Below are 24,064 nucleotides of genomic sequence, written 5' to 3'. Positions count from 1 at the left end.
CATACCAAAACTTATAAGTTGCAGCAAAAGCAGAACTGAGAGGTAAATTCATATGGATAAGCTCTTACCTGATAAAAGAAGAAAGATCTCAAATAAACAACTAACTTTACATCTCAAGGAACTAGAATCAGAAGAGCAAACTAAGCCCAAAGTTAGCAGAAGAAAGGAAATAAAGGAAACGAGAGCATAAATAAATTAAATAGAAAAGTGACAGAAACTAACAGTTGGTATTTGGAAAAGATAAACTGACAAACCGTTAGCTAAACTATGAAAAAAATAGAGAAGACTCAAATAAATAACATCAGAATTGAAAGAAGAGACAATACAACTGATGCCACAGAAGTAAAAAGGATCTTAAGAAAAAACTGTGAACAATTATACATCAACAAACTGGATAACCTAGAATAAAAAATTAAATTCCTAGAAACATACGAACTACCAAGATTAGATCATGAAGAAATATTATAAAATGTCTGAACAGACCTATAACTAGTGTGGAAACTGAATCAGGAATCAAAAACCTCCTAATGGAAGAGCTCTGGACCATACAGCTCCACTGGTGAATTCTACCAAACATTTAAAGATGAATTAATGGAAATCCTTCTCAAAATCTTTCAGAATATTGAGGAGGAGGGACCAGTTCCAGACTCATGAGGCCAGCATTAACCTGATACCAAAGCAAGACAGAGACACAAGAAAACTGCAGGGCAGTATTCCTGGTGAGCACAGATGCAAAAATCCCCAACAAAATACTAGAAAACCATGTCCAACAGTACATTAAAATGTCATCCACAATGACTAAGTGGGAGATAAAACAGAATAATAAAAAGTGTGCAATTAAACGAAACCAAAGGAGAAAAGTGGGGGAAGGAGAGCGAAAAAGAACAAAGGAGCAAATAGAAAACAGCTAAGAAGATGGTACATCTTAATCCAGCTGTATCAGTAATCAATTTTAATATCATTCTGAATGCACCAGTTACAGATAGAGCTTATCACATTGAATAAAAGAGCAAGATTCATCTAAATGCTGTTTTACAAGAAACCCATTTTAACTACCAGACTACAAGATGGAGTAGCCTAAGATACCCATTTTAAATATAAAGATAAATAAGTATATTAAAAGCAAATGATATTAAAAAAAGCCACAAAATACTAACCAAAAAAAAAAAAGAGGAAGCAACTTTAATATTAGACAAAGTTTAGAACAAGGGATTTAATCAGGGATGAAGAAACATAATGCTCAAGGGGTTAGTAAGAAGAGACAACAATCATAAATGTGTATGCAGCTAACAGAGCTTCAAGATATACGAGGCAAAAACTGATAGAACTGAAAGGAGAAATAGACACACGCACAATTATAGTTGGGGACTTAAAACTTCTCTTTCAGGAATCGATAGAGCGTGAAAGGATATCAGAAAGGTTACAGAAGACTCCAAAACGGCATTATCAACCAACATTCATGTATTGAATGTCAATTTTTTCGGTGTTCAAATGTGAGTGACATTTATAGAACATTCTAAACAACAGCAGAATACATGTCTTCCTCAAGTGCGCATGGGCATTCACCTACATAGATCATATTTGGGGCCATAATAGAAATGTCAAGAATTTTAAAGACATAAAAGTCATTCAAAGTCTGTTCTCAGAACATAGCAGAATAAAACTAGAAGTAAAGAACAGAAAGGTATCTGGAAAATCTCCAAATATTTCAAAATGAAACACACTTCTAAATAGTCCATGAGTCAAGAAACATTATAGGAAATTAAAAAATAATTCGAAAGAAAATGGAAATACAGCACACCAAAATATGTGGGAAGCAGCTAAATTAGTGCATACAGGGAAGTTTGTTGCATTACATGATATAAATAATTAGAAAAATCATTACTACACTTCTGCCTTAACAAACTAGAGGGGAAACAAGCAAACTAAACTCAAAGCAAACAAAAGGAAACGGATATTAAAGATTACAGCATAGGCCGGATGCGGTGGCTCTTTGGGAGGCTGAGGTGGGTGGATCACGAGGTCAGGAGATCGAGACCATCCTGGCTAACACGGTGAAACCCCGTCTCTACTAAAAATACAAAAAATCAGCCGGGCGTGGTTGCGGGCGCGTTTAGTCCCAGCTACTCGCGAGGCTGAGGCAGGAGAAAGGCGTGAACCCGGGAGGCGGAGCTTGCGGTGAGCTGAGACCACAACACTGCACTCCAGCCTGGGCGACAGGGCCAGACTCCGTCTCAAAAAAAAAAAAAAAAAAAAAAAAAGATTACAGCATAATTCAGGACAATTTGAAACCAAAAATAATGGAGAAAAATCAGTGAACTAAAGGCTTGTTCTTTGAAAAGATCAATAAAAGTTGAAAAAAAGAAACAAATTGCTGATAATATCAGGAATGAAAGATAGGGTGTCACACTCACCCCCACAGATTTGAAAAGGATAATAAAAGAATACTGCAAACAACTCCATACCTGCGAATTTGACAACTTGGATGAATGAGTAAATTTTTTGAAAGACATAAACTACCAAAATTCAGACAATAAGAAATAACCTGAATAGTTGTATATCTATTAATGAAATTGAATTTGTGATTAAAAACCTTCCAAAATGGAAACTCCACACCCAGATAATTTCCCAGGTGAAGTACTAAACATCTACGGAAGAAATTCTAATGATTCTATACAAACTTTTCCAGAATATAGAAGAGGAGGAAGACTTTTCATCTGATTTTATGAGGCCAGCTTTGCCCAGATACCAAAGCCAAAGATATTACAAGAAAACTACAGACTAGTATTCCTCATGGAGTTAGAAACAAAAATCCTCAACAGAATATGGGTGAATTGAATCTAGCAATATGAAAAAAGTATATCACAATAGGGTTCATCTTGGGAATATGAGATGAATTTCCAGTTCATCCTTTGAAAATCAATTACTACAGTTGACTGTAATAAGAGAATAAACATATGACTGTTAGTAGATGCAGAAAAGCACTTGACAAACATTCATTCATGTTAACAACAAAAAACAAAGCAACTCCTCAGCAAACTAGGAATTGAAGGGAACAACCTTTACTAAAGGGCATCTTCAAAAAACCTAGAGCTACATTACAGTTAATGGTGAGATACTGAATGCTTTATCTCTAAGACTGGGAACAATGCAAGGATGTCCTCTCTTACTACTATTATAATAGTCACTATTGTACTGGAATTCCTAGCCAGTGCAATAAGGGAAAAGTACATAAAAGACATAAAGATTGAAAAGGAAGGAATATAACTGTTTCTATTTGCAGACAACATAATTAAGTAGAAAATGCCAAAGAATCTACCATAAACCTCTTCTGTAGTACAGTTAAATTAATGTGTCATATTCTACATTCTATTTTAGATTCCACCTCCCAGAATTCACATCCTGGTTGAATTCTATTTGTATACAGTAAAATTCACTCTGTTTTTATGCCTTTATTTTGTTCCTTTTTATATATAGGCTGGTTCCATATTTTTGCAATTGCGAATTGTGCTGCTATAAACATGCATGTGCAAGTATCTTTTTCCTGTAATGACTTCTTTTCCTCTGGATAAATACCCAGGAGTGGGATTGCTGGATCAAATGGCAGATATACTTTTAGTTCTTTAAGGAATCTTCACACTGTTTTCCATAGTGGTTGTACTAGTTTACATTCCTACCGACAGTATAAAAGTGTTCCCTTTTCACCACATCCATGCCAACATTTATTATTTTTTGATTATGGCTATTCTTGCAGGAGTGAAGTATCATATGGTGGTTATGGTTTGCGTTTCCCTAATAATTAGTGATGTTGAGTATTTTTTCATACGTTCGTTGGCCATTTGTATATCTTCTTTCGAGAATTGTCTATTCATGTCCTAGCCCACTTTTTGATGGGATTGTTTTTTTCTTGCTGATTTGTTTGAGTTCCTTGTAGATTCTGAGTATTAGTCCTTTTTTGGATGTATAGATTGTGAAGATTTTCTCCCATTCTGTGGGTTGTTTACTTTGCTGATTATTTTGCTGTGCAGAAGCTTTTTAGTTCAATTAAGTCCCATCTGTTTATCTTTGTTTTTGTTGTGTTTGCTTTTCGGTTCTTGGTCATGAAGTTTTTGCCTAAGCCAATGTCTACAAGGGTTTTTCGAATGTTATCTTTTAGAATTTTTATGGTTTCAGGTCTTAGATTTAAGTCTTTGATCCATCTTGAGTTGATTTTTGTATAAGGTGAGAGATAAGGATCCAGTTTCATTCTTTTTTTTTTTTTTTTTTTTGAGATGGAGTCGCGCTCTGTTGCCCAGGCTGGAGTGCAGTGGTGTGATATTGGTTCACTGCAACCTCCGCCTCTCAGGTTCACGCCATTCTCCTGCCTCAGCCTCCCAAGTAGCTGGGATTACAGGCACCTGCCACCATGCCTGGATAATTTTTTTGTATTTTTAGTAGAGACGGGGTTTCACTGTGTTAGCCAGGATGGTCTCAATCTCCTGACCTCGTGATCCGCCCACCTTGGCCTCCCAAAGTAATGGGATTACAGGGGTGAGCCACCACACCTGGCCCCAGTTTCATTCTTCTACATATGGCTTGCCAATTATCCCAGCACCATTTGTTAAATAGGGTTTCCTTTCCCCACTTTATGTTTTTGTTTGTTTTGTCAAAGATATGTTGACTGTAAGTATTTGGCTTTATTTCTAGGTTTTCTATTCTGTTCCATTGGTCTATATGCCTGTTTTTATACCAGTACCATGCTGTTTTGGTGACTGTGGTCTTATAATATAGTTTGAAGTCAGATAATGTAATGCCTCCAGATTTGTTCTTTTTGCTTAGTCTTGCTTTGGCTATGTGGGCTCTTTTTTGGTTCCATATGATTTTTAGGATTGTTTTTTTTTCTAGTTCTGTGTAGAATGATGGTGGTACCTTGATGGGAATTGCATCAAATTTGTAGATTGCTTTTGGCAATATGGTCATTTTCACAATATTGATTATACCCATCCATGAGCACGGGATGTGTTTCCATTTGTTTGTGTTATCTGTGATTTCTTTCAGCAATGTTTTGTAGTTTTCCTTATAGAGATCTTTTACCTCCTTGGTCAAGTACATTGCTAAGCATTTTATTTTTTTTGGCAGCTATTGTAAAAGGGGCTGAGTTCTTGATTTGATTCTCAGCTTGGTTGCTGTTGGCATATAGCAGGGCTACTGATTTGTGTACATTAATTTTGTGTCCTGAAACTGCTGAATTCAATTGCCAGTTCTAGGAGCTTTTGGGATGAATCTTTAGGGTTTTCCAGGTATACAATCATGTCATCAGCAGCAGCAACAGTATGACTTCCTCTTTACCAATTTGGATGCCTTTTATTTCTTTCTCTTGTCTGATTGCTCTGGCTAGGGAAAAGTACGGATTTAACTCTCTTACCATCAGTACCTCCGATACACATTACTCACACATAAAAACTTTTTATTTGTTCCTCAAGATATATCACCTTTTAAATTCTTTTAAATTGCTACTTCTTTTTTAATTGCTAATTATGACTGTCTTAAATGTCTCAATACTTTAAAATACTTTAGGTGTTTTGTCAGTTTCATAATTTTCCTGCATATATGCTTTCATGATGCTACATGTATTCTCTGATACAGAGCTCCCACATACGCACCCCTGTTTCTATCCACCCTGTGCCCAAGCTCTGCATGATTATTCCAATCATCCTCACACCTATTAAGAACCTTTGTGGTATGAATATTCTTGGCATTTCTGATAGATTTAATTATCATTCCACTACAGGGTGACCTTTAATCCACCCTGTGTGTGCATGTTTCTGAAACTAAAGACAGGCCTATTTTAATGACTTTTATTCTCTTCCCCAGCTCTACTTCTGCAGGCCCCATCCCTTCCCAGAAAGAAGAGGAAATGACTGAGTCCCAGGTAAATGTTAAATAGTGTATTTGTTTCTTGCCTTACTCTCCAATGCAATTTAAGGGGATTGCAGTAATTCATACAGTAAATTATAAAGGTCTGTATACATAAAACATATTTTCAGGGGAAATAGAGTTGAACGATTAAAACTAGGGAAGAGTTAAAATGTGGGTATTTTATGAAATTCATTCAGAGAGATTAAAGCTGGGCTTCAAATTTAAATTTCCTTTTTACAGGTAAAGAAAACCAGAGCAAAAATTTGTTACATAATTTTCATTGTAACAATAAAAAATCAACATTTTCTAACAGAAATAAGCTTTTCATTGATACCTAGGTCAATGAAAACATTGTAGTGTTACTTCTTGTAGTTGATAAACCTAGCTCTTTTGATGTTCTCTTTCGATCAAGGATAAAACAAAGTGTAACTATCAAAATAGCCCAGCATTAGAAACAATGCAAATGAAAATTAACAGGAAAAGGAATAAATTATAGTATTTCACACGGTGAAATACTACTTAACAATAAAAAAGAACAGATGACTGTTACACGCAACAACCAACATGGATAGATTACACAAACATAGAATGAAAGAAGCCAGAAACAAAAAAGTATATATCATAGGGTTCCATTCATATAAAGTTGAAAATGGGCAAAACTAATGTATTGTGATAGAAGTCAGAATACTGGTTACCTCTGAGAGGGTATTTACTGTGAAACAGCATGAAGAAATCTGGAGGGGTGAAAATGTTCTGTATTTTGACTTACTGGTAGGTACCCATGTCTATAAATGTATACAGATTTATCAGATTTTATGCTTAAGACTAGTCCATTTTACCACATTACTCTATGCATGTCATACATAAATTTATTTATTTATTTACTTATTTATTTATTTTTTGAGATGGAGTCTTGCTCTGTTGCCCAAGCTGGAGTGCAATGGCACGATCTCAGCTCACTGCAACCTCTGCCTCCCGGGTTCAAGTGATTCTCTTGCCTCAGCCTCCATTGTAGCTGGGATTATAGGCACCCACCAGCACGCCTGGCTAATTTTTTTTTTTTTTTTGTATTTTTAGTACAGATGGGATTTCACCATGTTGGCCAGGTTGGTCTCAAGCTCTTGACCTCAAGTGATCCACCTGCCTTGACCTCCCACAGTGCTGGGATTATAGGTGTGAGCCACTGCGCCCGGCCCGTAAATTTAAAGAGAGAAAACTAGACTATCTTAAGAAAGAGGTGGGATGTGTGTCTTTCAGATGACCCTATGTAATTATCTTTTTCAATGGGCATTTGCTGCTGATTGAGCCACACTGTAATCATTTCTGGTAAATTCTTAAAATTTTAACCACTAGAATGTAAGCAGAGAGTGTGTTTTACTTTGTTTACTGCTGTATCTCCAGTACCTAGAAGATCACCTAGTACACTTGATATTCTGTGAATACTTGTGGTTTTCTTTCAGATTTATCCTACACTCTCAGATACTGAACATATTTTACTTTTTACCCTCAGCTCAAAGCTTTGCTCTTCTGAGATATACCTTTCTTTGACCGTGGTTTTTTTTGTTTGTTTTTTGTGTTTTGGAGTCTCACTTTTTGCCCAGGGTGGAGTGCAGTGATGCGATCTTGGCTCACTGCAACCTCTGCCTCCCAGGTTCAAGCAATTCTCCTGCCTCAGCCTCCCGAGTAGGTGGGATTACAGGCGTGCGCCACCATGCCCAGCTAATTTTGTGTTTTTAGTAGAGACAGGGTTTCACCCTGTTGGCCAGGCTGGTCTCCAACTCCTGACCTCGGGTTATCTGCCCGCCTCACAAAGGCTGGGATTACAGGCGTGAGCCTCAGCACCCGGCCGACCATGTATTTTTATCTGCCAGCTTCTATATATCTCCAGTTTCTTCCTCAGGCACACTCAGTTAATTTTCAAAATGAACATACCTGTGTAACACAGCGCACACACTCAGTGAAGAAATACAGAATTACCCTAGCACTCTAGGATACCTTTTCTATACTTCCTAGTCATCACCCCCACCCCAGGAGTGTTCAACTTTTATCACCATAAATTGTTTCTTCCTGTCTTTTAACTTTATATAATCTGTGTATTCTGTGTCTGGCTTTTGTTTAATATTATGTTTGTGAGATTCATCCATGTTAAATTGGTGCATCTAGTTGTAGTTCAGTTAATCTCATTGCTGAATATTATTATATTCTCTGATCAACATTTCCATGGATCTTATAATCCATGTCACTTCATTTCTTACCTGGAACTACTCTGGCAACTGCCTACTAATCTCCCTGTATCCACTCCTGACCATCTATAGTCCATTCTCCATAGAACAACCAAAGTGATAATTTAAACCTAAGGTTTTATTATGACTTCTCTGCTTAATACCATCTAGTGTCTTTCCTTTACATGTGGAATAACGTCCCTTACAAAGCCCCTCTTGGTATGCCTTCTGCCCATGTCTTCACCATTATCTTGTGCTACATTCTCCCTCATTCACTGTGTTTCACCCTCACTAACCTTTCCCCGCTTTGAGCAGACCAACTTTGTCTTGCCCCAAGAACTCTGAACATGCTTTTAAATGTTCCTACCCTAGATATTTATATGACTGGTTCTTTCTCATCATTCAGGTTTCTGCTGAAATGTCATCTTCCTCAAGGTTGTCTTTGGTTACTAAATTCAAAGTAGAGTTTCTGATTCATTCCATAACCCATTACCTTTATTGCATTTTCTTAACTTATCAATATCACATTTTATCTCACTTATTCACTTGCTTATGTTTTCATTTCCCTGTCCCCAAAGTAGAATCTAAGCTCCAAGAGGCCCAGAGTGTTTCTAAACTCACTCTGCTATCCCCTGTGAGTTCTGATTGATAAAATGAAAAAACTAATTTTAATGCAGTCTGATTCAAAACTTAGTTCAATCAGCAAATTGTTCTCTTGACAATTATTTAGTCATTCAGATTCTACTTTGTATCCCTGTTCTCTGTTAAAGTGGTGTTTGAGATAACAGGGAAGATCTTCATAGCTTGGGTATATGCTGGATGATTTAGCTAGCTCCTTTTTCAGGACATTCAGTGGCTGATGAATTTATGGTGTATTTCACAGCTCAGTGATGGTCCAAGGACCTCTCTTTATCAACTGGCCTCCTTTGGTTCTTGCTATCTCTGTAGATCTCTCTGAATCTGTCATTCTCTAGATGCTTCCTGGGTCCCCTAAACCCCACAGCATGCATGTAGGAGCATCTTGCCTTCTTTTTTTTTTTTTGAAACAGGGTCTTACTCTGTCACCCAGGCTGGCGTGGCACAATCTCAGCTCGCTGCAACCTCTGCCTGCTGGGCTCAAGCAATCCTCCCGCCTTCAGCTACCCAAGTAGCTGGGAGTACAGGCACGTGCCCCCATGCCTGGCTAATTTAAAAAAACAATTTGTAGAGACAAGGTCCCACTATGTTGCCCAGGCTGATCTCGAACTCCTGGGCTCAGGCAATCCTCCTGCCTCTCGGCCTCCCAAAGTGTTGGGATTACAGGCATGAGCCACTATGCCCAGCCTCACCTTGCCTTCTGAAATGACCCTACTTCATCCTACTCAGGGTCTGTGCTACATGGGAACTGAAAGCTACTTAGAAGTTATTCTCTCAGTTTGACATGACACTTTTCCCACTTAACTCACTGCTTCTCTTGCATTTCACACTCATGCCTTAGAGTGTGGGGAGTTCTAGGCACATATTACCTCCCTACCTTCAAGGCCTTTGTTTCCTCTATTCCAGGCCTGTAAGAGGAAGGAGAGGATTTTCCCCTTTCATCTTCTCCTCTGTCTTTCCTTTTTCAATAAAGTTAAGTGGAGAAAATGTATGAGGCATAAGGAAACATAGATTAAAATGTACTTCAAAACTAGTATACTGGTTAAACGTGTTTGGAGCCAGTGAGTGCTGAGTAGAGGCCAAGGTAGTATAAAATAAGGCCATGGAAGGTCTCAAGATATTCTTGGTGATAAAGCGCATTGATAAAGAAGAAAATTAGCCCATAGAGGAAGGATATCACATTTATTTGTTCTTTTGTTGCCATATTAAGTCTTCATCTACAAATAAAAGGTTCACTTCTCCAGAAATGTAGGGCAGAGTACCTAAGAAAATGAAATTAGTTCAGCTGATATATACTTATCATTGTGTGCTCTGCATTCTGCTTAGTGCTTTATTGGAGCTCTTCATTTTTTCATGTGGATTTTAATTGTTTTTTGTTACTTCCTTTCAGTCTGAATAACTTCCTTCCGTGTTTCTTATGAGGCTAGTCTGCTAGCATTGAATTCTTTGTTTTTACTTATTTCACCTTATTTTTTTACCTGAAATTCACATACATATTTAAAATTAATCATTCTACGATTCAGTGGTCTTTAGTACATTCACAGTGTTGTATAGCCACCACCTCTATCTGGTTCTGTAACATTTTTATCACCTCAAAATAAAACCCCATACCCATTAAGCATCTGTTCCCCTATCCCTCTCTCACTCCTAGCCCCTGGCAAACACCATTCTGCATTCTGTCTCTGTGGATTTACCTATTCTGGCTATATTATCTATTCTGAATATTTCATATATATACAATAATAAAATATGTGACCTTTTGTGTCTGGCTTCTTTCACCTAACATAATCACCTTCATTTTTGAAAGATAAGTTTCCTAAATATAGGATTCTTTGTTGTTAGTTTTTTTAATTTTTAGTTTTTGTGGATACGTAGTAGGTGTATACATGTATGAGGTATACATTTATGAGGTACATGAGGTATTTTGATACAGGCATACAATGAGTAATAATCACATCAGGGTAAATAGGGTATCTATCCAAGCATTTATCCTTTGTGTTACAAACAATCCAATTTACTCTTTTGGTTATTTTTAAATGTACAAATTATTGTTGACTATAGTTGTCCTGTTGCACTATCAAATATTAGATCTTATTCATTCTAACTATATTTGTACCCATTAACCATCCCCATTTCCCCCACCCACTATCCTTCCTAGCTGCTGGTAACCATCATTCTGTGCTCTATTTCCATGAGTTCCGTTGTTTTAATTTTTAGCTCTCATAAATAAGTGAGAACATGTGAGCTTTGTCGTTCTGTGTCTAGCTTATTTCACTTAACGTAATGATCTCCAGTTGCATCCATGTTGTTGCAAATGATAGGCTCTTCTTTTTTATGGCTGAATAGTACTCCAAGGTGTGTATGTATCACATTTTCTTTATCCATGCATTTCCTGATGGGCACTTAGCTTGATTCCAAATCTTGGCTATTGTGAATAAACAAGGAAGCAATAAATAAGGGAGTACAGATATCTCTTTAATACACTGATTTCCTTTCTTTTGGGTATATACTTAGCAGTGGGATTGCTGGATTATATCATAGTTCTATTTTACTTTTTTGATGAACTTCCAAACTGTTTTCCATCAGGTTGTACTAATTTACATTCCCACCAACAGTGTATGAGGGTTCCCTTTTCTCCACATCCTGGCCAGTATTTGTTAGTACCTGTCTTTTGGATGAAAGCCATTCTAAGGCCGGGCATGGTGACTCATGCCTGTAATCCCACCACTTTGGGAGGCCAAGGCGGGTGGATCATCTGAGGTCAGGAGTTCAAGACCAGCCTGGTCAACATGGTGAAACCCCGTCTCTACTAAGAATACGAAAATGAGCCAGGCATGGTGGTGCACACCTCAAATCCCAGCTACTCAGGAGGCTGAGGCAGGAGAATCGCTTGAACCCGGGAGGCGGAGGTTTCAGTGAGCCAAGATCGCACCACTGCACTCCAGCCTGGGCAACAAGAGCGAAACTCCATCACAAACAAACAAAAAAAACCATTTTAATTGGGGTGAGATGATATCTCACTGTAGTTTTGATTTGCATTTATCTGATGATCAGTGATGTTGAACACCTTTTCATATACCTCTTTGCCATTTGTATGTCCTTTGAGAAATGTCTTCAGATCTTTCCCCCTTTTTAAATCAAGTTATTAGACTTTTTTCATATACAGTTATTTGAGCTCCTTATATATTCTAGTTATTAATCCCCTGTCTGATGGATAGTTTACATATATTTTCTCCCATTTTGTGGGTTGCCTCTTCACTTTGTTGATTGTTTCCCTTGCTGTACAGAAGCTTTTTAACTTGATATGATCCCATTTGTCCATTTTTGCTTTGGCTACCTGTGCTTACGGGATATTACTCAAGGAACCTTTGCCCAGTCCATTATCCTAGAGAATTTCCTCTGTTTTCTTTTAGTCGTTTCATAGTTTGAGGTCTTAGATTTAAGTCTTTAATCCATTTTGATTTGATTTTTGTGTATGGCAAGAGATAGGGGTCTGGTTTCATTTTTCTGCATATGGATATCCAGTTATTGAAGACACTGTTCTTTCCCCAATATATTTCTCGGCACCGCTGTTGAAAATGAGTTCGCTGGAGATGTATGGATTTGTTTCTGGGTTCTCTGTTCTGTTCCATTGGTCTTTGTGTCTGCTTGTTGTTATTCTTTGTTGTCGCTGTTTGTGACAGGATCTTGCTCTCTTGCTCAGGCTGGAGTGCAGAGGTGTGAACATGGCTTGCTGTAGCCTTGACCTCCTGGGCTTAGGTAATCCTCTTGCCTCAGCTTCCCAAGTACCACAGGTGCACACCACCATGCCTAATTTTTTATTTTTTTGTAGAGACAAGGTCTCACTATGTTGCCCAGGACTCAAACTCCCAGGCTCAAGCAGTTCTCCCACCTCAGCCTCCCAAAGTGCTGGGATTACAGGCACAAGCCACCCTTCCTGGCCTATGTGTCTACTTTTATGTCAGTACCATGCTATTTTGGTTACTGTAGTTTTGTAGTATAATTTGAAGTCAGGCTCCTCCAGTTTTTTCTGTTTGCTCAGGATGGCTTTGCCTATTCTGGGTCTTTTGTGGTTGCATATAAATTTTAGCATTTTTTCCTATTTCTGTGAAGAATGTCATTGGTATTTTGATAACAATTGCATTGAATCTATAGATTGCTTTAGGTAGTATGAACATTTTAACAATATTGATCCTTCCAACCCATGAGCATGGACTATCTTTCCATTTTTTTGTGTGTGTCCTCTTCAATTTTTTTCATCAGTGCTTTATAATTTTCATTGTAGAGATCTTTCAATTCTTTGGTTAACTCCTAGGGATTTTACTTTTAGCTACTGAAAATATTAATTTCTTGATTTCTTTTGTCAGATTGTTTGCTGTTGGCATATAGAAATGCTATTGATTTTTCTATGTTGATTTTGTATCCTGCAACTTTACTGAATTTGTTTATCAGTTCTGGTACTTTTTTTGCTGGAGTCTTCAGGTTTTTTCAAACAGAAGATCATATCACATGCAAACAAGGATAATTTGACTTCTTTTTTAATTTGGATGCCCTTTACTTCTTTCTCTTATCTGATTTCTCTTGCTAGGATTTCCAGTACTATGTTGAATAACAGTGGTGAAAGTGGGCACCCTTGTCATATTCCAGATCTTAAAGGAAAGGCTTTCTGTTTTTCCCCATTCGGTATGATACTAGCTGTGAGTCTGTCATATATGGCTTTTATTGTATTGAGGTATGTTCCTTCTGTACTCAGTTTTTGAGGGTTTTTATCATGGAAGGGATGTTGAATTTTATCAAATGCTTTTTCAGCACCAGTTGAAATGATCATATGGTTTTTGTCCTTCATTCTCTTGATCTGATATATCACATTGATTCATTTGCGCATGTTTAACCGTCCTTGCATTTCTAAGATAAATCCCACTTGGTCATGATGTATTGTCTTTTTAATGTGTTGCTGAAATCAGTTTGCTAGTATTTTGTTGAGGATTTTTGCATCAATGTTCAGCAAGGATATTGGCCTGTAGCTTTCTTTTTTTTTTTTTTTTTGATGTGTCTTGGTCTGGTTTTCGTATCAGGGTAATATTGCCCTCCTGGAATGAGTTTGGAAGTATTCCCTCTTCCTCTATTATTTGGAATAGTTTAATTAGGATTGGTATTAGTTCTTCTTTAATTGTTCAGTAAAATTCAGCAGTGAAGCCATTGGGTTCTGAGCTTTTCTTTGCTCGGAGACTTTTTATTACAGCTTCAATCTCATTACCTGCTATTAGTCTGTTCAGGTTTTGGATTTCTTCATGGTTCAATCTTGGTAGGTTGTATTTTCTAGGAATTTATCTATTTCTTCTAGGTTTTCTAATTTATTGGCATATAGTTGCTCACAGTAGCTTCTAATGATCCTTTGAATTTCTCCAGTATTGGTTATAATGTCTCTTTTTTCATCTCTGATTTTACTTATTTGGGTCTTCTCTTTTTTTCTTAGTCTAGCTAAAAGTTTGCTGATTTCATTTTTTTAAAAAACTGATTTTTTTATTTTGTTAATCTTTTGTATCATTTTCTTCATTTCATTTATTTCTGCTCTGATCTTTATTATTTATTTTCTTCTAATAATTTTGAGTTTGGTTTGCTCTTTTCTAGTTCTTTTAAGATGCATCATTAAATTGTTTATTTGAAGTTTTTCTTCTTGTTTGATGTAGGTGCTTATAGCTATAAACTTTCCTTTTAGTACTGCTTTTGCCATATCCCATGGGCTTTGATGTGTTGTGTTTCCATTATCATTTATTTCAAGAAACTTTTAAATTTTCTTCTTAATTTCTTCATTGACCTAGTGATCATTCAGGAGCATGTTGTTTTATTTCTGTGTTTGTATAGTTTCCAAAATTCCTCCTTATTGATTTCTAGTTTTATTCCATTGTGGTTAGAGAAGATATCTTATATAATTTTAATTTTTTGAATGTTTTAAGACTGGTTTATGGCCTAACATGGTCTATGCTTGAGAGTGATCTATGTGCTGAGGAAAAGAATGCGCATTCTGCAGCCATTGGATGAAATGGTCTGTATATATCTATTATGTCCATTTGATCTGTAGTGCAGATTAAGTCTGATAGTTCTTTGTTGATTTCTATCTGGATAGTCTGTCCAGTGCTGAAAGTAGAATGTTGAAATCTCCAGCAATTATTCTATTGGGTCTATCTCTCTCTTTTACTGTAATAATATTTGCTTTATGTATCTGGGTGCTCCAACATTGGGTGCATACATGTTGACAATTATTATATCCTCTTGCTGAATTGACCCCTTTATCATCATGTAATGACCTTGTTTGTCTCTTTTTATAGTTTTTGTCTTGAAGTCTATTTTGTCTATAGCTAGTCCAGCTCTTTTTTGGTTTCCATTTGCATGAATATATTTTTCCATCTATTTTCAGTCTATGTGTGTCTTTATAGATGAAGTGTGTTTCTTGTAGGCAATGGATTTTTGGGTCTTGTTTTTTTGTTTGTTTGTTTGCTTGTTTTTATAATATATTCAGCCACTCTGTCTTTTGATTGGAGAGCTTTACATTCAAATGTTAGTCCATTTACATTCAATGTTATTATTGATAAGTAAGGACTTAGTCCTGCTATTTTGTTATTTCCAGGTTGTTTTGTGGTCTTCTTTTCCTCCTTTCCTGCCTTCCTGTCTTCCTTTTTGGGAAGGTGGTTGTCTCTAGTGGTATGTTTTAATTTCTTGCATTTTACTTTTTATGTATCTGTTGTATGTTTTTTGATTTGAGGTTGCCATGAGGCTTGCAAATAATATAACATATTACTTTAAGCTGATGACAAATTAACACTGATTGCATAAACAAACAGGCCAAGAGAAAGTTAGTACTCTACACTTTAACTTTGTCCCCCTGCTTTTTTAACTTTTTGCTGTTTTTACTTTTTAATTTATTTATTTATTTATTTTTGAGATGGAGTCTCGCTGTCACCAGGCTGGAGCGTAGTGGCGTGATCTCAGCTCACTGCAACCTCCGCCTCCCAGGTTCAAGCGATTCTCCTGCCTCAGCTTCCCAAGTGTCACACGCGCACGTGTGAAGAGACCACCAAACAGGCTTTGTGTGAGCAGCAAGGCTGTTTATTTCACCTGGGTGCAGGCGGGCTGAGTCCAAAAAGAGTCAGCAAAGGGTGGTGGGATTATCATTAGTTCTTGTAAGTTTTGGGATAGGTGGTGGAGTTAGGAGCAATGTTTTGCGGGCAGGGGGTGGATTTCACAAAGTACATTCTCAAGGGTGGGGAGAATTACAAAGAACCTTCTTAAGAGTAGGGGAGATTACAAAGTACATTGATCAGTTAGGGTGGGGCAGAAACAAATCACAATGGTGGAATGTCGTCAGTTAAGGCTATTTTCACTTCTTTTGTGGATCTTCAATTGCTTTAGGCCATCTGGATGTATACATGCAGGTCACGGGATATGATGGCTTAGCTTGGGCTCAGAGGCTTGACACCGAGTAGCTGGGACTACAGGCTTGCGCCACTCCACGCCCAGCTAATTTTTTTGTATTTTTAGTAGAGACAGGGTTTCACCATGTTGGCCATGATGGTCTGGATCTCCTGACCTTGTGATCTGCCCGCCTCGGCCTCCCAAGGGGTTGGGATTACAGGCGTGAGCCACTGTGCCCAACCTGCTGTTTTTATTTATATTTTATTGTACTGTGTCTTGAAACATTGTTTTAGTTATTGATGTATTTATATTGATTCATCTTCTCATCTTTCCTTTTTTTTTTTTTTTTGAGACAGAGTCTCGCTCTTGTCACCAGGCTGGAGTGCAGTGGCACAATCTCGGCTCACTGCAACCTCTGCCTCCCGGGTTCAAGCGATTCTCCTGCCTCAGCCTCCTGAGTAGCTGAGACTACAGGCATGTGCCACCATGCCTAGCTAATTTTTGTATTTTTAGTAGAGATGGCGTTTCACAGTGTTGGCCAGAATGGTCTCATCTGTTGACCTCGTGATCTGCCCACCTCAGCCTCCCAAAGTGGTAGGATTACAGGTGTGAGCCACTGCACCCAGCCCTTCTTCTCGTCTTTCTATTCAAGATATGAGTAGTTTACACACCACAATTACAGTGTTATAACATTCTGCATTTTCTGTGTACTTTCTATTACCAGTGAATTTTGTACTTTCACATGATTTCTTATTGTTCATTAACGTCCTTTTTTCAGGTTGAAGGACTCTCTTTAGCATTTTTTTGTAGGACAGGTCTGGTGTTGATGAAATCTCTCAGCTGTTGTTTGTCTGGGAAAGCCTTTATTTCTCCTTCATGTTTGAAGGTTATTTTCACCAGATATACTATTCTAGCATAAAAGTTTTTTTCCTTCAGCACTGTAAATATGTCGTGCCACTCTTTCCTGGCATGTAAAATTTCCACTGAAAAGTCTGCTGCCAGACATATTGGAGCTTCCATTGGTATGTTGTTTCTTTTCTCTTGCTGTGTTTAAATGGATCCTTTCTTTATCATTGACCTTTAGGAGTTTGATTATTAAGTGTCTTGAAGTAGTCTTATTTGGTTTAAATCTACTTGGTGTTCTATAACCTTCTTGTACTTGAATATCAATATCTTTCTCTAGGTTTGGGAAGTTCTCTATTGTTATCCCATCGAATAAACTTTCTACCCCTGTCTCTCTACCTCCTCTTTAAGGCCAATAAGTGTTAGATTTGCCCATTTGAAGCTATTTTCTAGATCTTACAGGCATGCTTCATTCTTTCTTACTCATTTTTCTTTTGTCTCCTCTTACTGTGTGTTTTCAAATAGCCTATCTTCAGGCTCACTAATTCTTTCCTCTGCTTGATCAATTCTGTTGTTCAGTGACTGAACAGACTGGGGGTGGTGGCTCATGCCTACAATCCTAGCATTTTGGGAGGCCAAAGCATGAGGATCACTTGAGCCCAGGAGTTTGAGACCAGTTTGAGACCAGCTTGGGCAACGTAGTGAGACTACCATCTCTACAAAAACATTAAAAACTTAGTTAGGTATGGTGGCATGCACCTGTGGTCCCTGCTCTTTGGGAGGCTGAGGTAGGAGGATCACTTGAGCCTGGCAGGTCGAGGCTGCAGTGAGCCATGATCACACCACTGCATTCCAGCCTGGATTACAGAGACTCTGTCTCAAAAAAAAAAAAAAAAAAAAAGACTGATGCATTCTTTAGTTTGTCCGTTGCATTTTTCAGCTCCAGAATTTCGGCTCTATTCTTTTGAATTATTTCAGTCTCTTTGTTAAATTTATCTGATAGCATTCTAAATTCTTTCTCTGTGTTATCTTGAATTTCATTGAGTTTCCTGAAAACAGCTATTCTGAATTCTCTATCTGAAAGGTCACAGATTTCTGTGTCTCCAGGATTGGTCCCTGGTACTGAGTTCAATTTGGTGAAGTCATGTTTTCCTAGATGGTCTTAATGCCTGTGAATGTTTGTTGATGTCTAGGCAGTGAAGAGTTAGGTATTTATTGCAGTCTTAGCAGTCTGAGCTTGTTTATACCTGCCCTTTTTGGCAAGACTTTCCAGGTATTTGAAGGGACTTGGGTGTTGTGATCTAAGTTTTTGGTCACTGCAACCATATCTGCATCAGGGGGCATGCCAAGCCCAGTTAACACTGTGGCTCTTACAGAATCATAGAGGTACCACCTTGATGGTCCTAGATAAGATCCAGAAGAATTCTCTGGATTACCAGGTAGAGACTCTTGTTGTCTTACTTTCTCCCAGAGTCTTTCTGTGCTGAGTTGCCTGGAGCTAGGGGAGGGGTGACACAAGCACCCCTGTGGCTACCACCACTGGGACTGCGCTGGGTCAGACGAAGCCAGCACAGCACTGAGTCTCACCCAAGGCCCACAGTAACCACTGCCTGGCTATCACCTGTGTTCACTGAAGGCCCTATCACTCTACAGTCAGCAGGTGGCAAAGCCAGCCAGTCTTGTTTCCTTCCCTTTAGAGTAGCAAGTTCCCCCCAGCCACGGGCAGGTCCAGAGATGCCATCCAGGAACCAGGGCCTAGAGTCAGAAACCTTAGGAATGTACTTGGTATTCTACGGTGGCTGGACTGGCACCCAAGCCACATGGCAAAGTCCTTCCCACTCTTCCCTCCCCTTTCCACAGGCAGAGGAATTTCTCCCCGTGGCTACCACTGACCCAGGCCCATGGCAAGTATGGCCTGGCTACCGCCAGTGTTCATTCCAGGCCCAAGGGCTCTTCAGTCAGCTTGTGGTGAATGTTGCCAGGCCTGGGATTCTCCCTTCAGGCAGCAAGCTCCCCTTCGGCCCAGGGCAGGTCCAGAAATACCATGCAAGAGGCAAGGCCTGGAATTGGGGACCCCAAGAACCCACTTGGTGCTGTACCCCATTGTGGCCAAGTTGGTACCAAAGTTCCCTATACTTTGCCCTCTCCTTTTCTCAAGCAGGAGTCTCTCCTTGTAGCCACCACACGGGAAATGTGCTGGGTCACACCTGAAGCCAGCATGTCTCTGAGTCTCACCCAAGGCCCATGGTGAGTACTACCTGGCTACCACTGCTGACTGTTCAGGGCTCAAGGGCTCTTTAGTCAGTAGGTGATAAATGCTGCGAAGACTGAGTTCTTCCTCTCAAGGCAACAGGTTCCCTTCTGGTCCAGGGTGTGTGTAGAAGTTGCATCCAGGAGCTAGCGCATGGAATGGGGGCCTCTGCCTGGTGCCCTATCATACTGTGGCTGAGCTGGTATCCAAGGTGCAAGACAAAGTCCTCTTTACTCTTCCTTCTCCTCTTCTCAAGTGGAAGGAAGGGGTCTCTCCTGGAGCTGCGAGCTGCACTACCTCGGGTTAGGGAAAGGGTGGCACAAGCACTCCCTTGGCTACCCTGGCTGGTGTCTCACTGGGTCCCATGACCCCCTAGTCCACTGGCTCCAAGCCCAGCACAGCACCAGGACTTGCCCAGGAATTGCAATTCCTGTGGCCTAGACTGCCTTTCAAGTTCACTTAGGATCCTAGAGCCCTTTAGCCCATGGTGGTGAGGCTTGCCAGAATTCAGGTTCCTACTGCTACAATGGACAATTCCCCTAGACTGGCTGGGGCTGGTCCAAATACTTCTGGTGTGGGCACCAACTGGGTTCTCCCTGGTGTTGCCTTCTGCTGTGACAGGGCACCACTGAGTTCCAATGAAAAGTCCTGCAATCACTCTGGTCTCCCTCCTGCGGGTGCACAGATTCTCTCTCAGAACCATATGGCCACTGCCGGAGAATAGGGGAGGGATGGCGTTAGCAATTCACGATCAGCAATTCACGACTGTCTTTCCTACCCTCCTCAGTGCCTCTTTCAGTGATGTGAAGTTAAAACCAGATACTGTGACTGCTGACCTGATTTTTGGTTATGATGAAGGTGCTTTTTTGTGTGGATAGTTGTTCAATTTGGTGTTCCTGTGGGGAGTATGATCGGTGGAGGCTTCTATTGGGCCCTCTTTCCCTACTTCCTCTCTGATAGTTTTTTTTTTCTTTCAGAACTTTGAATATGTTGTCCCATTGCTATTTGTCCTCCATTGTGTTTGATGAGAAGTCAGCTATTAGTTTTATTGTGGTTGGTGAAGATAATGAATTATTTTCCCTTGCTGTTTTCAAGATTTTCTCTTTATATTTATTTTCAACATTTTGACTATGATGTGTTTAGGTGTGTACCTTGTTGCGTTTATCCTACTTGGAATTCATTGAGCTTGAATATGTACATTAATGTTTTTCATCAAATGTGGGAAGTTTTCAGCCATTATTTCTTTGATTTTTTCTGTCCTTTTCTCTCTCCTCTCTAACTTATACTTAAATTATGCATATGTTAATGCACTTATTGCTCTAGCTCACATTTCTGAGTCTATATTCTTTTTTTTTTTTTTGAGATAGGGTCTCACTCTGTCACCCAGGCTGGAGTGCAGTGGCACAATTATAACTCACTGTAACCTTGAACTCTTGGGCTAAATCAATCCTCCCACCAATGTCTCCTGAGTGGCTAGGACTATAGGCATGTGCCACCACACCTAGCTGATTTCTTAAATTTTTTGGTAGAGATAGGGTCTCATCATCTTGCCCAGGCTGATCTTGAACTCCTAGCCTCAAGTGATCCTCCCACCTTGGCCTCCCAAAGCACTGGGATTACAGGCGTGAGCCACTGTGTCCAGCCTGTATTCATTTTTCTACATCCTTTTTTCTGTCTCTTCTTCAAATTGCATCATTTTTAGTGATCTGTCTTCAAGTTTACTAATACTTTTTTCTGCCAACTCAGACCATCCTGAAGTTGTGAGAAAGTCTCAGCCAGGCCAAAGGGGAGTTGCTGACCAAAGCTTTCCCACTAGAGGAAAACCATATCAAGTGTAATAGTCCAGACTTTAATAGCCTCACTATGCTGAGCCTGTGGCTGGAAGCAGTGTTGGGGTGTCATGACCTCAGCATGAAAGTGGAGCAGCTGGAGGCTGTTTGCCAACTATGCTTCTCACAGTGGATTCCCTTAAAGAGGATTCGAGCACCATCCCTTCATAGCTGCCAAAGGATGGCCAGATCTGGCATGAACATATTAATCTGTTAGTATTACACTTGACTGCCTGTGATAGAAAGCCCAGATAACCTTTGCTTAAACAAGACATAAGTTTATTTGTCTCTCATATTGAAGTTCAAGGCTGGTCCTGTAGCTCCAAAGGGCAGAGAACGAAACTCTTTCTCCTTCATTGCTCTGCCATTCTTGGTTGTTGGCTTCTGCCTTATTATCTCAAATGGCTCTGTTTGCTCTCGACTCTGGTAAGTCGCATTGACTTACCAGTCTACAGGAAGGTAGAAGCTTAGGAGAAATGGTATACCTCGTGCCTTTATGTTCACTTATCAGCAGTTGCATGCAGTCCTTTCATCTCACTGTCCAGAACATTATCATATAAACATATTAATACTTATTTCAGCAGACCATGTGCCTGGCCAGAAATTGGGAAGACAGAATAAATATTGGAATAGAAGAATAACAGTGGGTGCTATAGTATTGCACTGTTGGGATTTTCTTCTTTTTTTTAAGATCAGTCTTAGGCTTATGTTTCCCTTTAACCTATTCATTTCATTATGAATTTAAAAATTTCAGGCTGGGTGTGGTGGCTCACACCTGTAATCCCAGCACTTTGGGAGGCCGAGGCAGGCAGATCATTTGAGGTTAGGAGTTAGAGACCAGCTTGGCCAACATGGGAACACCGTCTCTACTGAAAATACAAAAATTAGCTGGGTGTGGTGGCGCACGCCTGTAGTTCTAGCTATTTGGGAGACTGAGGCAGGAGAATCACTTGAATCCAGGAGACGGAGGTTGTAGAGAGCCAACATCACGCCACACTGCACTCCAGCCTGGGCAACAGGGCGAGACTCTATCTCAAAAAAAAAAAAAAAAATTCAACCACAGATATATACTACTTTAAATATCAATTAGTTTTAATGTTTTTTCCTAATTTGGGATGTTTATTTTTCTTCCTTAAACTTACTAAACATTTGCCTAATTCATTCTTCTTAAACTATCAGCTTTTTTTTTTTTTTTTTTTTTAAGAGACAGGGTCTTGTTCTATTGCCCAGGCTGCTCTAATGCAGTGGTGAGATCATGGCTCACTGCAGTCAAACTCCCAGGCTTAAGCAGTCTTCCCACCTCAGCCTCCCAAGTAGCTGGGACTATAGCCACGCACCACCATACACGGCATTCATTCATTCATTCATTCATTCATTCATTTATTGTAGAGATGAGGTTTTGCTATGTTGCCCAGACTGGCCTTGAACTAGCCTCAAGCAGTTCTCCCACCTCGGCTTCCCAAAGTGGTAGAATTACAGGCGTGAGCCACCGCGCCTAGCTCCAGCTTTTAAATATGGAGATTTGTGTATATGTAAGTTCTAAATTTTTCACTTTAAATTGTTTCTGTTTTTGCATTTACTAAATTCTTTTTCCCAAGTATTTTCTTCAAATGTATTTTAATGATTTCTTTTGGGATTCTCTCACTCTTGAGCTAGGGGCAATTAGGATTTTCTTGTAAAATCTTTGGTGCTGATTTTTAAAATTTATTTACTAGTTTAATGATCTGACCTCCTGAAGAAAATACAACTTCCTGAGGAAAAAGTCTGCAGCTGAGGTAGTCCCAGCAAGAGTGTGTTTCTTATGTGCTCATGTTCTTCCCTGTAATTGGTGAAACTATTATACCAGGGCCAGATTTCCACATCATGCTTTCTCCTCAGTCCCACTTCCTCACCAAATGCTTTATCCAGGCTTATTTGGATCTTCCTCCCAGATGAGGGGAAATATTAAAAACCCCTGGATTTCAGGGTTTTTTTCCTCTGACACTTTGCCTTTTGCTTCTTGAACATGTTTATTGCAAGCATCATGATTTTCAGCAGGAAGGGCTTTCAGGAGCTGATCTCCCATCAGTACCACAGCTTTCTCTGAGCCCTTAGTGTTAATGGATGTTCATGCTCATAAGTTCCTTTTAGGACCTAGAAACAAATTCTTAGATACATTGTGAACGAGCTATTGGAGACTTTCTTTTTTCTCACCTAGTTTCTGGTAGAAATTCCTGAAACAGTAGGAAATATGGATTGCTCCCTTTTTTCCAGGCTGAGTGCTATTTAAGATTTTTTCTTATGTTCATATACGTTTGGGCATTTCTGTTTTGAACTAGGAAGAGTGCATTAGATTTCTATATTCAAATCACATTGCCTTTAAGAAGTTCACCAGTTTTTTTGAAATTCATTCAATAGCTTTTTTTTTTTGAGACAGGGCCTTGCTCTGCCACCCAGGCTGGAGTGTAGTGGTGCAATCACGACTCACTGCAACCTCCACCTCCCGGGCTCAAGCAATCCTCCTACCTCAGCCTCCTGACTAGCTGGGACTACAGATGCACACCACCACACCTGGCTAATTTTTGTATTTTTTGTACAGACGGTTTCGCCACATTGCCCAGGCCCGTCTCAAAACTCCTGGGCTCAAGGGATTTTCACGTCTCAGTCTCCTAAAGTGCTGGGATTACAGGCATGAGCCATGTAATACCCAGCCATTCTACAGCTTTTTAAATACACAGTTTCAGTTATAATTCTATTTCTGACCATTAAAAAACAAATTGTCATCAGGGCATGTGTTTTTTCATGGTTGTCTCTGAGATTCTATCTGTGGCCCCTTTTCCAGTACATGTAAACTATTTGAACAATCAGATCCCATTTTCATGGCTGCAGACACATACTACAGGCTGATGACCCATAAATCTTCATTTCCAATGTGGATTTCTCCTGATCTCATGAACAATACATCCAACTGCTAAATCAGTGGCTATCTCCAG

At 39.3% G+C, this 24,064-nt stretch overlaps 1 protein-coding gene across 10 annotated transcripts in view; it reads left to right on the top strand.

Annotated features, from left to right (window-relative positions):
* ZNF569 (zinc finger protein 569) overlaps positions 1 to 24,064 on the top strand; it is a 58,109-nt gene that overhangs the window by 18,448 nt on the left and 15,597 nt on the right. For all 10 annotated transcript variants that reach the window (XM_006723048.5, XM_011526538.4, XM_047438278.1 and 7 more), the window contains one exon: positions 5,854 to 5,911. In XM_006723048.5, coding sequence (XP_006723111.1) covers positions 5,854 to 5,911 — 58 coding nt within the window. The remainder of the gene's footprint in view (positions 1 to 5,853; positions 5,912 to 24,064) is intronic.

The sequence above is a fragment of the Homo sapiens genome, chromosome 19 (assembly GCF_000001405.40).
Source record: "Homo sapiens chromosome 19, GRCh38.p14 Primary Assembly".
Lineage (NCBI taxonomy): Eukaryota > Metazoa > Chordata > Mammalia > Primates > Hominidae > Homo > Homo sapiens.
This window is presented reverse-complemented; position numbering and strand designations above follow the sequence as displayed.